The 16,506-nt window shown below is 38.6% G+C and overlaps 1 long non-coding RNA gene across 1 annotated transcript in view; it reads right to left on the bottom strand.

Annotated features, from left to right (window-relative positions):
* The window catches only part of LINC00499 (long intergenic non-protein coding RNA 499), a 114,634-nt gene that overhangs the window by 54,349 nt on the left and 43,779 nt on the right, over nt 1-16,506 (bottom strand). Inside the window, exon 2 of the long non-coding RNA NR_051987.1 lies at nt 8,594-8,700. This is a non-coding gene — a long non-coding RNA (long intergenic non-protein coding RNA 499). The remainder of the gene's footprint in view (nt 1-8,593; nt 8,701-16,506) is intronic.

Raw genomic sequence — 16,506 nt, 5'->3', positions numbered from 1 at the left:
GTAAAAAATGTGCTTTGTGTTTTGTCCCCTGCCAATAGCCTGGCAGTCCCTAAACACAGTGATATCCTAGTGTTTATGGGAAAATATCAGAAGGGCCAAGAGAAGTTGCTTATAAATGGTTTGAGTTAACTGTGCTGCCAAAACAGTTTGTTTATTGAACTTTTGACTGCACATTTCTTATATGACCTGTGGTTATCTATTTTCAAGTTTTAAACTCCTGTTTGGTTTTTTACCTTTCCCCCTTATTCTACTTAGTTAATGGTAACAAGACTTTGCAGACAATTGCAAAATTTCTATTACCCCAATATCTAAAATGCAATTTTAAAGAAAAAATACTTTTTTCTTTTTATTATTAGCATATGAATAATGCATGTTCACTGCAGAAAAAAATAAAGATATCAACAACAACAAACATCGCCCATGACCCAGAGAGAACCACTGTTAACATTCTTGTTTATGTTCCTATGAACTTAATGCATGAATATATTTTATTTAACATTGGATCATTCATTCTCAATTATGGGGAATTAGAGAATGAAGCCTTGCAAATTTCTGTGTTTTTTTGGTCTCAGGGTTAAAATCTGAATATTCAAATGAGTTTATTTGCAAGCTCTGTTCAGTATTTTATTGCAGGGGGGAATATCTTTTTTTTTCTTTTTCATTTCCACTAAAGAAAGAATAAGAGATATAAACTGCCAAGTGCAACCTAAGGTATTTGGGTTATGTCTGAGTAAAATTTGCCTGATATTATTATTAGTTACTGGAACAAATATGTTATTGATCTTTAATACTTCAGCACTTACAGCATCAAGCCAGGCAGCAATTATCCTACTTGTTGACTGGCTGACTGACTTGACTAAATGATAAGCAGCAGAGGCTCTTCCTAAATCCCTAATTAGTGTGAGGACAGTTTAAAGCGAACAGACAAAATTCTCAATGAATTACAGCCCACAACAATGTTGTAGATAAAGAATTAAAAAATTATAGATAGCAGAATAGTAAATTCTGAGCAAGGCTAAAATTAATTAATGCTTTATTTCTGCTCCATATTTTTCTATCTTCCATATCCTCTGTTTGGAAAGAAGCAGATGTTGAAATCCTTATAGAAAGTTTGAGTTCAGGCTAACTGAGATATCCCAGAGTGTCACAGGTATTAATATTTTCCCCTCATAATAATGTAGTAAATCAGATTCTATTATTATGTCCACATGACAGATAGAGTAACAGAGTGAGCTTTGTTCATTCAATAGTTAGCATGTACTATGTTTAGGAACTGCACTGCATACTGGGATATGGCAGTGATTTCATGGAGGAAAATCCTAGCCTTCTTGGAGTTTGTATTCTAGTAGGGGAGATAGACAACCAATGGAACGAATAGATATATTGACTGTAAGAATGTAGTGAGTATTATGGTGAAAAATAAAGAGGAAAGGGCTATAGAGAGTGTTCTGATACAAGATTTGACAGGCCTCAAACCTAGGTATTCTGTCTTCAAACCCTGTGCTACTCTGGTGACAGTAAGATACAAAGAACATGAGATTTTCATCTGAAGATACTGCCTGAGATGGATTCATAGGAAAGAATAATTTCTGTGGTTCATGAATTACTCTTAAGATAAGCAATAAATCTGAATAACTGTCCCGGAAAGAAGAAGGGTTGGAGTATCATCACAACTAAGGAAGCCAGAGGAGTTGTTTTCAAATAAATAAAAGCAAGCACTGCTGTTTGGCCCCTGTTGAAAGGCCAGAGTTGGAATCAGTCAGCTTTGGATTCCTGTTTACTTCTAGCATTGTGTCAACAAGCCTGTGGAGTACTCAAAACACCAAAGATCAGCAGATGTTTTTGACATATTTATTTTGTCAAAAAGTCAACATGTATTCTTTTTCATCTTGTGAATGTGTCCTCACCTTCTGCACTCTGCCCTAGTTTTTCCTCATAACAACCCTTCCTCAAATCCTCCCTTCTAATTTAGCCAAGCTTGGAAGAAATTTTCTTCTGGAGAATGTGTCTTAGGTAGAGTACACTAAACACTGAATGGATCACAATAAAACTGCTAATTCTTTGTCTATGTGAGTTACTGCAATTTTCAGAGAAAAAGCATTTTTATTGGGGTGAAGAAGGAATGTTACTAGAATACAGAACCAGAAGATGATCTTGTCTGAAGTAGTTTGTCTCTAAGTGTTTCAGTCAGTGTTCAGCCCAAGAAGCAGAACTAGTAGAATGAATACATAGACAGATAGATGGATGATAGATAGGTAGTAGATAGCTAGAAAGCTAGATGAGGTGGAGGAAAAGGGAGGGAGAAAGAGAGATTTATTACAAGGAATAGGCTTACTGGACTGTGGGAGCTGGTTAAGTGAGTCTGAAATCCACTGGGCAGGCAATAAGGAAAGGAAGCTCGTGGGTAAGCTCCAACATATGGGCATGAGTGGGAGCTACTCTCCATAGGCAGAATTTCTTCTCTCTCAGTGCAACATCAGCCTTGCTTTTAAGTTTTTCTAGCTCATTCAGTCATGACCATTTAGATTACCTGGATAATCTACCATACTCAAAGTCAACTGGTTAGGAGTTATTGATTGAATAACTGGACAGTGTAGCCTAGATAAGTTGACACATCAAAAACAAAACAAAAACAGTTAAGTCACCTTGTAAATCTGATTTTTGAGAATCTTAATTGGGATATGTATTGCAAAGCCCTGAAATAAGTAACTTTCCCTTTAAGGCTTCTAACTTAAAAAAAAAATTTTTTTTGTTTCAATGTGAAAAGTATGCTTTTGTCTTTTCAGCTGTCAATACTTGTCAAGACCATAAGAAATGTATTTTTAAATGTGATGATTAATGAGTCAGTGCAGTGTTTCTGCTATGTCTTTCAAATTCATTTCATATTAAAAATAAAGCAAGATGAAACAGATTATCTGTTAGTCAAATGCAGAGTTTTTGCCCACTGAAGAACAAACTACATTCCTTCCCTCTTTTTTGCAAGCAAATTCCAATTTGTTTATTTTTGGTGGCAGGGGTTAGATATTGTATCCAGCCCCAGTGGACATGATCAGTCAAAACCAGTCATGGAGATCTTTTTGCTAGTAACTGGGCCAGGAATGGTCATGTGACCCAGTTTTGGCCAAGGGAACGTAAATGGAGATCTAATGGAAGCTTTTCAGGATTTAGCATCCTTATAAGAGAGAGGCACAAAAGAAGGAAGCTCTTTTGCTCCTGCCCTCTTCCTGCTTGGGAAGACTTTGGAATGATATTGTAATGCTTGAAGTTCTGGAGACAACACGTGATCATAAAAGGATACATTATTGGCACTTTGTGGATAGCAGAGCAAAAAGAAAGAGGCATGTTCTGATGATACCGTGGAGCTACTGAACTAACCTGCATATTCCACCATCAGACTTTACAAGTATGGACCACATTGTAGTGCCAGAAAATAAGGAAATGCTCAAAAAACCCTGCAACTGTAGAGGTATGTCAAAGAGACACAGAAGCCAACTGAAAAAGCTGTCAATAGCTAAAACTAAAAAAAAAAAATTGGAGCAATAAAACAAATGAGGCAATATTGGGTTATAATCCTAAATATTCATAAATATCCATGAGCCCATACTGATCTAAATGACTAAATAAATAAACAAATGGGGGAAGACAAACAAATTTCTTCTGCAGAAGAATTTCAAAGAGTTTATGTAGCTGCTCCAGCCCCAAGGGAGCGGAGGATAACTCCTACTTCTTAAGTATGGACGGTGCACAAGTAGCCTCTCTCCAAAGAGTAGAGTATGGAAAGAGGTTGAAGAGAGTAACTTCTCAGTGGAAAAGCCCAATGTATTAGTTTTCTTTTGGTGCTGTAACAAGTGATCACAAAGTTAGTGATGTAAAACAATAAAACTTTATTACCTTACAGTTTTGGGGTTAGAAGTCTAACACTGGACTAACATCAAGGTCTTAGCAGGGATGTGGACAGGGCTGCATTCTTTTTGGGGGGCTTCAGGAAAGAATCAGTTTCCTTGCCTTCTCCAGCTTCTAGAGGCTGCCCACATTCCTTGGCTCATGGTCCCCTTTCTTTATCTTTAAAGCCATAAAACAACAGGTCCAGTTCTTCTCACATCACATCACTTGGACCTACTTCCTTCATCTGCTTTCTTCTTTTCCTCTGACTCTCTCTTCTTCCTTTTGATTGCATTGGGCCTACCCAGGTAATTTGGGATAACCTTCCTATCAGAAGGTCCATTGATTGCCATGCTTAAGTCCATTAGTAATCTTAATTTCCTTTTGTCATGTAACCTGACATATTCACAGATTCCAGGGATTAGGGCATAGAGACATTTGCCGGGGGCGGGGGCTAGTATTCTGTCTACTACCTCTGGCTAATGTTGCCTTAGCCAGGTGGTCAGGGCTCACAGCAACAGTGGTAAGTCATGCTGATAAATCATGTACACTTGTTTGGTGATGAGAGTGTTACATTACCTCTGTGATGCTCCCCCCTCCAACCCAACCATACCCAAGTCTAATCATGAGAAAAATATTAATACCAGGCACATCCCCATTGAGAGACATTCAATAAAATACTTGAACAATACTACTCCAAACTATCAAGGGTCATTATGGTAGGAATGTGAATAGCCCCTAGGTGCTGGAAAAGACAAGGAAATAGACTCTTCCCTAGAGCCTCCAGAAAGGATAAAGCCTTCCTGACACATTGATTTCAGCCCAGTTAGACCTATATTAGGCTTATAGCCTACAGATCTGGGAGATAATAAATTTGGATTATTTTAAGCCACTAAGTTTGTGGTAATATTTTACTACAGCAAAAGAAAAGTAATACTGTCATCAAAAACAAGAAAAGTCTGAGAAACTGTCACAGCCAAGAGAAGTCTAAGAAGACTTGACAACTAAATGAAATGTGGTATCTTGGATGGCATCCAGGAAAAGAAAAAAGAACATTAAGTAAAAATTAAGGAAATCCATACAAATTATGGATACTAATTAATAATAATGTATAAATATTAATTAATTAATTGTGCCAAAGGTGCAGTGTTAATAATAGGGAAAGCTGTGCATGAGGTACATGGGAGCTTTCTGTACTATCTTTGCAATTTTTCTGTAAATCTAAAACTATTCTATAATGAAACATTTAACAAAGAATAAAAAGTAAATGTCTTAGTATATAAGCCACTATTAAAATGGTATTCTGATGTTGTAGGTAAAACTATCCAAATGCCAAATGGATGATCCAGGTAATACTTTATTAAGTATCTACCATGTGCAGGGGAACCGTAGCGTATATAAAAATGTGTCTTTCAGGGACCCCCCTTCTCAAGGAACCCAAGTTCTAGTTGGGATGATAACACATTTGTGAGTTGCTGTAATAGTGAGAAAACGCATAAAAGCCGTGAGGCTAAAGTTCAAAGGACATTTGGAATAGAAAAATGAACTTCCACCTGGGGACTTTGTTAAGGAAGTAGCATTTGTATTCTGCCTTGAGGTACAACCAGAGCTTGTACACGCATACTTGAAGACGAAGTAGAAGACTGACAAGTCAAAAGTTTAGAACAAAGGCCTAGGAAAAGAGGATGTTAGCAGAAGTATGTTGAATTTAAGTGTCTTGAACACCTGAATTATATCTGCCTTGTTCATCATTATATCCTCTTTGCTTCCAACAGAACATGCAGCAATTGCTCCACAAATAAATATCTGTTGATTAATGGAAGGAAAAATAGATGGAAAATAAGTTGTGAAGATCTCCAATGCTAAGTTAATGAGTTTAGCCACTTAAAGTTTTTAAGCAAAACAACATGATTTGAGCTTTTCTGTGGAAAGATTAATCTGGCAAAAAAAGCAGTTCAGATGGAAAGGGAGATGAAGGAAAATATTAAACTTGTACAAGTGAGAAATTATAATTATAGTAATCTTATTTGTTTGCTAAAATAATCACTAGGCTCTTTTTATTAAAAATTTGATTTTTGTTTATATCAAATTAAGACCTTATAAAAAATCAGTGATTTATAATGAAAAATACCAGTCTCCTGTTCAAGCAGAACAACCCCAGTATCTCCGTAACAAAGATAGCACCTTTCAACTCTTTTAACCATTTATTCTAACATTTACCTTCTTATTTTTAAGTTTCAAACATATATGACTAGTTCTTGATTTTGAAATGTTATGTACTAGTTTTTGACTCTCTACTCTGAAAAATGAGCATTTCACTTTCTCACACTAACTCAATCCCTTATACTCACTCCCATAATTCCTTTTCCCCATTTGACTAGAATAGATATAGTGATCATTTTTGCTACTCAATATTTGATGTTTACAAATTTATTATAGATAATGGCTAGACCAATGTCTAAGCCGTATGATTTACTATGATTATCACAATTTCTTTCTTATATAACTTTTCGTTTTTGTTGAAGGTAATAATTGCTTTGTTTTTTGTTTACTTAGTTTCTATAGCTCTTTCAATGTGGTTAAGCACACTGTGAAGTCTAAGGCACCAATCTGGAGCAAATATTTTCTGAGATTGTTCTTAGGATAATATATTACTATAAGATGTATTATCTTTGAAATTCTAACTGCCTTTTAAAGAAATGGACACTCCTGTTTCTTTGATTTCACGTTTTCCTCTTTACTCTTTGGTTTTCTTGAAGTGTGTTCTCCAAGGAACTTACTCTGATATTTGGAAGGTAATAGTCTTAAAAGATTGTATGTCTATATACTATTTTTCAAATTAATATATGAGATGGATATAGAAGACTAGTTCGAAATTAGTTTTTCCTGAGAATTTTGAAGACTTGCCAGTTATCTTCTAGTGCCTAGTGGTATGCCTTTTTGATTTCTGATTTTTTTCCATGCAGCATGTTTGTTACCCTTGGGAGTTTTTGAGGTTTAAAAACAATCCATGATGTTCTGAAACTTTACTAATGTATGCCTTGGTGCAGGTACTTGATATGGTTTGGGTCTGTGTCTCCACCACATCCCATGTTCAATTGCAGTCCCCAGTGTTGGAGGTGAGGCCTGTTGGGAGGCAATTTTATCATGGGGGTGCATTCTTCTTGAATGGTTTAACACCATCCCTTTGGTGCTGTTCTCGTGGTAGTAAGTTATTGTGAGATCTGGTTGTTTAAGAGTGTGTAGCTTCTCCCCTGCCCTCTTTTGCTCTTGTCTCAGCCATATAAGACGTGCCTGCTTCTGCTTCACCTTTGGCCATGGTTGTAAGTTTCCTGAGACCTCCCCAAGAAGCAGATCCGGCAATGCTTCCTGTACCCCCTGCAGAACCATGAGCCAATTAAACCTCTTTTCTTTATAAGTTACCCAGTCTCAGCAGTTTCTGTATAGAAGTATGAGAACAGACTAATATGGTACTTCTTCCTTATTTTCCATGTAGTTACCTTTTTGTTCTGTTTTTCTGACAGTTGTTTCCTCCAGGTTTAATTTCCAGTACTTCAAATGAATACAAGTATTATATACTCTTAATCCTCTTATGTTATTTATTTTCTGAAGATTTTTAAAAATAAAATTTCTGTTCTCATTTCACGGATGTAATTGTTCCTTTCTGAGAATATTAATTACAGCTTTGGGGAAATTTTTTACTCAGAGTTCTTCATCTCATTTATTTTATTTAGTCTTTCATGTTCTCAAAGGTCTAATGATCCTTGACTTCTATTCAGTGTGACTTAAGGTTGATTCATTCTGATTTATGCTTGGCTGAGACATCTCTATAGGGCGAATAAACAGCATTCCCAGTGTTTTGCACAGGAACCCTCAAATGTCAACGGTATATGTCTTTTATTTTAGGCCAACTCAGGGAAAATTCCTCTAATCTGCAATGTTCTGCCCAGAGAGCATAAATCCAGCTGCTCTTTTCTATGAACCAAATATGAACCAGAGATTATGATGTCTCAGATTCAATTCCACCAAGAATAAGCCTCACCCCCTGTTGGGATGGTGAACAGTAGAGGAGAAATCTTGGACTAGAAATTGCTCATTGCATAGTTCCATAATCTCTTATCTGAAACTCTTTGAGCCAGACATGTTTGAAGATTCAGATTTTTTTAGATTTTAGAAAGTAATATGGTGCATAATTGATATAAAGTTGGTCTTTGAACAATACATGAGTTAGGGGTGCTGAAACGTAAGCACTAGAAAATCCACCACATAACTCTGACTCCCCCAAAACCCTGTTGTTGACCAGAAGCCTTACTGATAACATAGTCAATTAATGCATATTTTGCATTTTATTATAGTATTCTTATAAGAAAGTAAGCTACAGAAGAGAAAATGTTAAGAAAATCATAAGGAAGAGAAAATATATTTATAGTACTTTACTGGATTTGTCGAGACTATAAGTTTACATTGCCTGTTTAGAAGATTAATCATCTGTCTGAAATGGGGTGGCGGGGATGACAACTGAAGGTGCAAACCTCAATCCATGGTACATATCAAGCAATTCAACTTTTTCTTGTAATGTCATGCCTATCTGCTTCTTGGGAGCACCTCCAGCATCACTAGAGGCACTTTGAATGGGTCTCATGGTGTAATTCAAGGTTTATGGTATTGCACTAAACACAATAAGAAATACTCAAGAACCACGAGAGATTACCTTTTACTGTGATAAGCAATTTACTGGAGAGATGAGATGAACTGCTCGTGCAGAGATGATTAGCATCACATGGCATTTTAAGCAGATACTTGCAACACTTGAGCTCACTGCAATAGCAACAGGAGGTGACTATGAAATTATTACAGCAGTACAGCATTACTACAGTTAATTTTATTCAGTTATGTTTTAATACTGCAACTTTATGTTTGTTTACATTTCACCTGACTGCAAATGGAACCCTGTACAGTCTGTAAGCATGTGTGCAAGTTTTGATAAATTTTAACTCTGTATAATAGATTTGTGTATACTTTATGGTAGTAAATCACAAAATAGACTCATATCTACATATGTTTTATGCATTCATGAGATATATAACATTTTATTAATTTTTTATATTCTAGGTTATGGAGGTTCATCTGTGAGTATTTTCAGATTGTCACATCTACAATCACATCTCAGTTAATTAAGAGGAGCGAGTTGCAGGGAAAAGGTAAAGGACAATGATTTCTTTCTTTTTTTTATTATACTTTAAGTTCTAGGGTACATGTGCACAATGTGCAGGTTTGTTACATATGTATACATGTGCCATGTTGGTGTGCTGCACCCATTAACTCATCATTTACATTAGTTATATCTCCTAATGCTATCCCTCTCCCATCCCCCCACCCCACAACAGGCCCCAGTGTGTGATGTTCCCCACCCTGTGTCCAAGTGTTCTCATTGTTCAGTTCCCACCTATGAGTGAGAACATGTGGTGTTTGGTTTTCTGTCCTTGGGACAGTTTGCTCAGAATGATGGTTTCCAGCTTCATCCATGTCCCTACAAAGACATGAACTCATCCTTTTCTTATTGCTGCATAGTATTCCATGGTGTATATGTGCCACATTTTCTTAATCCAGTCTATCATTGATGGACATTTGAATTGGTTCCAAGTCTTTGCTATTGTGAATAGTGCCACAATAAACATACATGTGCAAGTGTCTTTGTAGCAGCATGATTTATAATCCTTTGGGTATATACCCAGTAATGGGATGGCTGGGTCAAATGGTATTTCTAGTTCTAGATCCCTGAGGAATCGCCACACTGAGTTCCACAATGGTTGAACTAGTTTACAGTCCCACCAACAGTGTAAAAGTGTTCCTATTTCTCCACATCCTCTCAGCACCTGTTGTTTCCTGACTTTTTAATGACTGCCATTCTAACTGGTGTGAGATGGTATCTCATTGTGGTTTTGATTTGCATTTATCTGATGGCCAGTGATGATGAGCGTGTTTTCATGTGTCTTTTGGCTGCATAAATGTCTTCTTTTGAGAAGCGTCTGTTCATATCCATCACCCACTTTTTGATGGGGTTGTTTGATTTTTTCTTGTAAATTTGTTTAAGTTTTTTGTAGATTGTGGATATTAGCCCTTTGTCAGATGGGTAGATTGCAAAACTTTTCTCCCATTCTGTAGGTTGCCTATTCACTCTGATGGTGGTTTCTTCTGCTGTGCAGAAGCTCTTTAGTTTAAGTAGATACCATTTGTCAATTTTGGCTTTTGTTGCCATTGCTTTTGGTGTTTTAGACATGAAGTCCTTGCCCATGCCTATGTCCTGAATGGTATTTGCCTAGGTTTTCTTCTAGGGTTTTTATGGTTTTACATCTAACATTTAAATCTTTAATCCATCTTGAATTAATTTTTGTATAAGGTGTAAGGAAGGGATCCAGTTTCAGCTTTCTATATATGGCTAGCCAGTTTTCCCAGCGCCATTTATTAAATAGGGAATCCTTTCCCCATTGCTTGTTTTTCTCAGGTTTGTCAAAGATCAGATGGTTGTAGATGTGTGGTATCATTTCTGAGGCCTCTGTTCTGTTCCATTGGTCTATATCTCTGTTTTGGTACCAGTACCATGCTGTTTTGGTTACTGTAGCCTTGTAGTATAGTTTGAAGTCAGGTAGCATGATGCCTCCAGCTTTGTTCTTTTGGCGTAGGATTGGCTTGGCAATGTGGACTCTTTTTGGTTCCATATGAACTTTAAAGTAGTTTTTTCCAATTCTGTGAAGAAAGTCATTGGTAACTTGATGGGGATGGCACTGAATCTATAAATTATCTTGGACAGTATGGCCACTTTCACGATATTGATTCTTCCTATCCATAAGCATGGAATGTTCTTCCATTTGTTTGTGTCTTCTTTTATTTCATTGAGCAGTGGTTTGTAGCTCTCCTTGAAGAGGTCCTTCACATCCCTTGTAAGTTGGATTCCTAGGTATTTTTTTTCTCTTTGAAGCAATTGTGAATGGGAGTTCGCTCATGATTTGGCTCTCTGTTTGTCTGTTATTGGTGTATAAGAATGCTTGTGATTTTTGTACATTGACTTTGTATCCTGAGACTTTGCTGAAGTTGCTTATCAGCTTAAGGAGATTTTGGGCTGAGATGATGGGGTTTTCTAAATATACAATCATGTCATCTGCAAACAGGGACAATTTGACATCCTCTTTTCCTAATTGAATACCCTTTATTTCTTTCTCCTGCCTGATTGCCTTGACCAGAACTTCTAACACTATGTTGAATAGGAGTGGTGAGAGAAAGCATCCTTGTCTTGTGCCAGTTTTCAAAGGGAATGCTTCCAGTTTTTGCCCATTCAGTATGATATTGGCTGTGGGTTTGTCATAAATAGCTCTTATTATTTTGAGATACGTCCCATCAACACTTAGTTTACTGAGAGTTTTTAGCATGAAGGGGTGTTGAATTTTGTCAAAGACTTTTCTGCATCTATTGAAATAATCCTATGGTTTTTGTCTTTGGTTCTGTTTATATGATGGACTATGTTTATTGATTTGTGTATGTTGAACCAGCCTTGCATCCCAGGGATGAAGTCAACTTGATTGTGGTGGATAAGCTTTTTGAGGTACTGCTGGATTCGGTTTGCCAGTATTTTATTGAGGATTTTTGCATTGATGTTCATCAGGGATATTAGTCTAAAATTCTCTTTTTTTGTTGTGTCTCTGCCAGGCTTTAGTATGAGGATGATGCTGGCCTCATAAAATGATTTAGGGCAGATTCCCCCTTTTTCTGTTGGTCGGAATAATTTCAGAAGGAATGTTACCAGCTTCTCTTTGTACCACTGGTAGAATTCATCTGTGAATCCGTCTGTCCTTAGACTTTTTTTGGTTAGTAGGCTATTAATTATTGCCTCAATTTCAGAGCCTGTTATTAGTCTATTCAGGCATTCAACTTCTTCCTGGTTTACTCTTGGGAGGGTGTATGTGTCCAGGAATTTATCCATTTTTCTAGATTTTCTAGTTTATTTGCGTAGAGGTGTTTATAGTATTCTCTGATGGTAGTTTCTGGTGGATCGGTGGTGATATCCCCTTTACCATTTTTTATTGCGTCTATTTGATTCTTCTCTTTTCTTCTTTATTAGTCTTGCTAGTGGTCTATCAATTTTGTTGATATTTTCAAAAACTAGCTCCTGGATTCATTGGTTTTTTTGAAGGGTTTTTTGTGTCTCTATCTCCTTCAGTTCTGCTTTGATCTTAGTTATTTCTTGCCTTCTGCTAGCTTTCAAATATGTTTGCTCTTTCTTCTCTAGTTCTTTTAATTGTGATGTTAGGGTGTCAATTTTAGATCTTTCCTGCTTTCTTTTGTGGGCATTTTTTTGCTATGAATTTCCCTCTACACACTGCTATAAATATGTCCCAGAAATTCTGGTATGTTGTGTCTTTGTTCTCACTGGTTTCAAAGAACATCTTTATTTCTGCCTTCATTTCTTTATGTACCCAGTAGTCATTCAGGAGCAGGTTGTTCAGTTTCCATGTAGTTGAGCAGTTTTGAGTGAGTTTCTTAATCCTGAGTTCTAGTTTGATTGCACTGTGGTCTGAGAGACAGTTTGTTATAATTTCTATTCTTTCACATTTGCTGAGGAGTGCTTTACTTCCAACTATGTGGTCAATTTTGGAATAAGTGTAATGTGATGCTGAGAAGAATGTACATTCTGTTGACTTGGGGTGGAGAGTTCTGAAGATGTCTATTAGGTCTGCTTGGATCAGAGCTGAGTTTAATTCCTGGTGATTCTTGTTAACTTTCTGTCTCATTGATCCGTCTAATGTTAACAGTAGGGTGTTAAAGTCTCCCATTATTATTGTATGGGAGTCTAAGTCTCTTTGTAGGCCTCTAAGGACTTGCTTCATGAATCCGGGTGCTCCTGTATTGGGTGCATATATATTTAGGATAGTTAGCTCTTCTTGTTGAATTGATCCCTTTACCATTATGTAATGGCCTTCTTTGTCTCTTTTGATCTTTGTTGGTTTAAACTCTGTTTTTTCAGAGACTAGGATTGCAACCTCTGCCTTTTTTTGTTTTCCATTTGCTTGGTAGATCTTCCTCCATTCCTTTATTTTGAGCCTGTGTGTGTCTCTGCATGTGAGATGGGTCTCCTGAATACAGCACACTGATGGGTCTTGACTCTTTATCCAGTTTGCCAGTCTGTGTCTTTTAATTGGAGCATTTAGTCCATTTACATTTAAGGTTAATATTTTTATGTATGAATTTGATCCTGTCATTATGATATTAGCTGGTTATTTTGCTCATTAGTTGATGCAGTTTCTTCCTAGCATCAGTGGTCTTTACAATTTGGCATGTTTTTGCAGCAGCTGGTACCGGTTGTTCCTTTCCATGTTTAGTGCTTCCTTCAGGAGCTCTTTTAGGGCAGGCCTGGTGGTGACAAAATCTCTCAGCATTTACTTGTCTGTAAAGGATTTTATTTCTCCTTCACTTATGAAGCTTAGTTTGGCTGGATATGAAATTCTGGGTTGAAAATTCTTTACTTTAAGAATGTTGAATATTGGCCCCCACTCTCTTCTGGCTTGTAGAGTTTCTGCCAAGAGATCAGCTGTTAGTCTGATGGGCTTCCTTTTTTGGGTAACCTGACTTTTCTCTCTGGCTGCCCTTTACATTTTTTCCTTCATTTCAACTTTGGTGAATCTGACAATTATGTGTCCTGGAGTTGCTCTTCTTGAGGAGTATCTTTGTGGCATTCTCTGTATTTCCTGAATTTGAATGTTGGCCTGCCTTGCTAGGTTGAGGGAGTTCTCCTGGATAATATCCTGCAGAGTGTTTTCCAACTTGGTCCCATTCTCCCCATCGCTTTCAGGTACAACAATCAGATGTAGATTTGGTCTTTTCACATAGTCCCATATTTCTTGGAGGCTTTGTTTGTTTCTTTTTACTCTTTTTTCTCTAAACTTCTCACTTCATTTCATTCATTTGATCTTCAATCACTGATACCATTTCTTCCACTTGATCAAACTAGCTACTGAAGCTTGTACATGCATCATGTAGTTCTCGTGCCATGGTTTTCAGCTCCATCAGGTCATTTAAGGTCTTCTCTGCACTGTTTGTTCTAGTTAGCCATTCGTCTAATCTTTTTTCAAGGTTTTTAGCTTCTTTGCGATGGGTTCAAACATCTTCCTTTAGCTCGGAGAAGTCTGTTATTACCAATTGTCTGAAGCCTTCTTCTCTCAACTTGTCAAAGTCATTCTCCATCCAGCTTTGTTCCGTTGCTGGTGAGGAGCTGTGTTCCTTTGGAGGAGAAGAGGCGCTCTGATTTTTAGAATTTTCAGCTTTTCTTCTCTGGTTTCTCCCTGTCTTTGTGGTTTTATCTACTTTTGGTCTTTGATGATGGTGATGTACAGATGGGGTTTTTGTGTGGATGTCCTTTCTGTTTGTTAGTTTTCTTTCTAAGAGTCGGGACCCTCAGCTGCAGGTCTGCTGGAGTTTGCTGGAGGTCCACTCCAGACCCTGTTTGTCTGGGTATCACCAGCGGAGGCTGCAGAACAGCAAATATTGCAGAATGGCAAATGTTGCTGCCTGATCCTTCCTCTGGAAGCTTCGTCTCAGAGGAGCACCCAGCCGTATGAGGTGTCACTTGGTCCCTACTGGGAGGTGCCTCCCAGACAGGCTACTCGGGGGTAGGGACCCACTTGAGGAGGCAGTCTGTCCGTTCTCATTTCTCAAACTCTGTGGTGGGAGAACCATTACTCTCTTCAAAGTTGTCAGGGACATTTAAGTCTGCAGAAGTTTCTGCTGCCTTTTGTTCAGCTACGCCCTGCCTCCAGAGATGGAGGGTACAGAGGCAGACAGGTCTCATTGAGCTGCAGTGGGCTCCACCCAGTTCAAGCTTCCTGGCCACTTTGTTTACCTACTCAAGCCTCAGCAATGGTGGATGCCCCTCCCCAGCCTCGCTGCTGCCTTGCAGTTCGATCTCAGACTCCTATGCTAGCAGTGAGCAAGGCTCCGTGGGCATGGGACCCTCCGAGCCAGGCACAGGATATAATCTCCTGGTGTGCCGTTTGCTAAGACCATTGGAAAAGTGCAGTATTAGGGTGGGAGTGTCCCGATTTTCCAGGTCCTGTCTGTCACGGCTTCCCTTGGCTAGGAAGGGGAATTCCCCGACCCCTTGTGCTTCCTAGGTGAGGCAATGCCCAGCCCTGCTTCGGCTCACACTCCACGGGCTGCACCCACTATCCGACAAGCCCCAGTGAGATGAACCCAGTACCTCAGTTGGAAATGCAGAAATCACCTGTCTTTTGCATCACTCATGCTGGGAGCTGTAGACTGGAGCTGTTCCTATTTGGCCATCTTGGAAATGATCGCCTCATAGAGACAAATATGATTTCTTAAGCTTTTTACCATCTGAAGCCTTTAAGAAATAGAATATCCATTTTGGAGGTACCTGTAGACTTATTAACATAACCTGGCTGTAGTGGGATGACTGTTGCTCTTCAAAAGCCCCCCAAGCCCCATATGTTCACCTCATATGGCTGGGTGTCCCTCTGAGATGAAGCTTCCAGAGGAAGGATCAGGCAGCAACATTTGCCATTCTGCAGTATTTGCTATTCTGCAGCCTCCGCTGGTGACACCCAGGCAAACAGGGTCTGGAGTGGACCTCCAGCATCCTAATACCCAAACTATATGGCAAAATATGTAATGATTTTAAAGGTTTTGTTTTGTTTTTTTGAGATGGAGTCTTGCTCTGTTGCCCAGACTGGAGTATGGTAGTGTGATCTTGGCTCACTGCAGCCTCCGCCTCCAGGGTTCAAACAATTATCCTGCCTCAGCCTCCTGAGTAGCTAGGATTACAGGTGCCCACCACCAGGCCCTGCTAATTTTTGTATATTTTTTAGTAGAGAGAGAGTTTCATTTTGTTGGCCAGCCTGGACTTGAACTCCTGACCTCAAGTGATCTGCCAAACTTGGTCTCCCAAAGTGCTGGGATTATAGGCTTGAGCCACTGCACCCAGCCAAGTTAGGGGTCTTGAGAGGAGGATTTACCATGGATTATCCTATGTGGCCTGTATACGAGGAAGTTTGGAGTTAGACTGCAGAGAGAAGGTGGTGTGAAGACAGAGTGGAGAGATGAGACAACACACCAAGGAATTGCCTACAGTCACCAGAAGCTGAAAAGGCAAGAAATGCATGATTCCCTAGAGCCTCCAGAAGGAGTGCAGCCCTGCCCACACCTTGATTCTAGACTTCTGGCCTACCGAACCAGAAGAGAATAAATTTCTCTTGTTTTAAGCCACTCAATTTGTGGTAATGTCTTAAAGCAGTCCCAGGAAACAAATACATGAGCCATGCAATGTTGTTTTGTCTTCCATGAGTGAACACAAACTCTCTTTGTGTGAGACAAACCTGTGAATTATTACTATTTTTAAAATTTATTTATTTATTTATTTATTTATTTATTTATTTATTTTTGAGATGGAGTCTCGCTTTGTCGCCCAGGCTGGGGTGCAGTGGCACGATCTTGGCTCACTGCAACCTCTACCTTCAGGATTCTCCTGCTTCAGCCTCCCGAGTAGCTGAGACTACAGGTGCACGCCACCATGCCCAACTAATTTTTGTATTTTTAGTACAGACAAGGTTTCACCAT

The sequence above is a fragment of the Homo sapiens genome, chromosome 4, assembly GCF_000001405.40.
Source record: "Homo sapiens chromosome 4, GRCh38.p14 Primary Assembly".
Lineage (NCBI taxonomy): Eukaryota > Metazoa > Chordata > Mammalia > Primates > Hominidae > Homo > Homo sapiens.
This window is presented reverse-complemented; position numbering and strand designations above follow the sequence as displayed.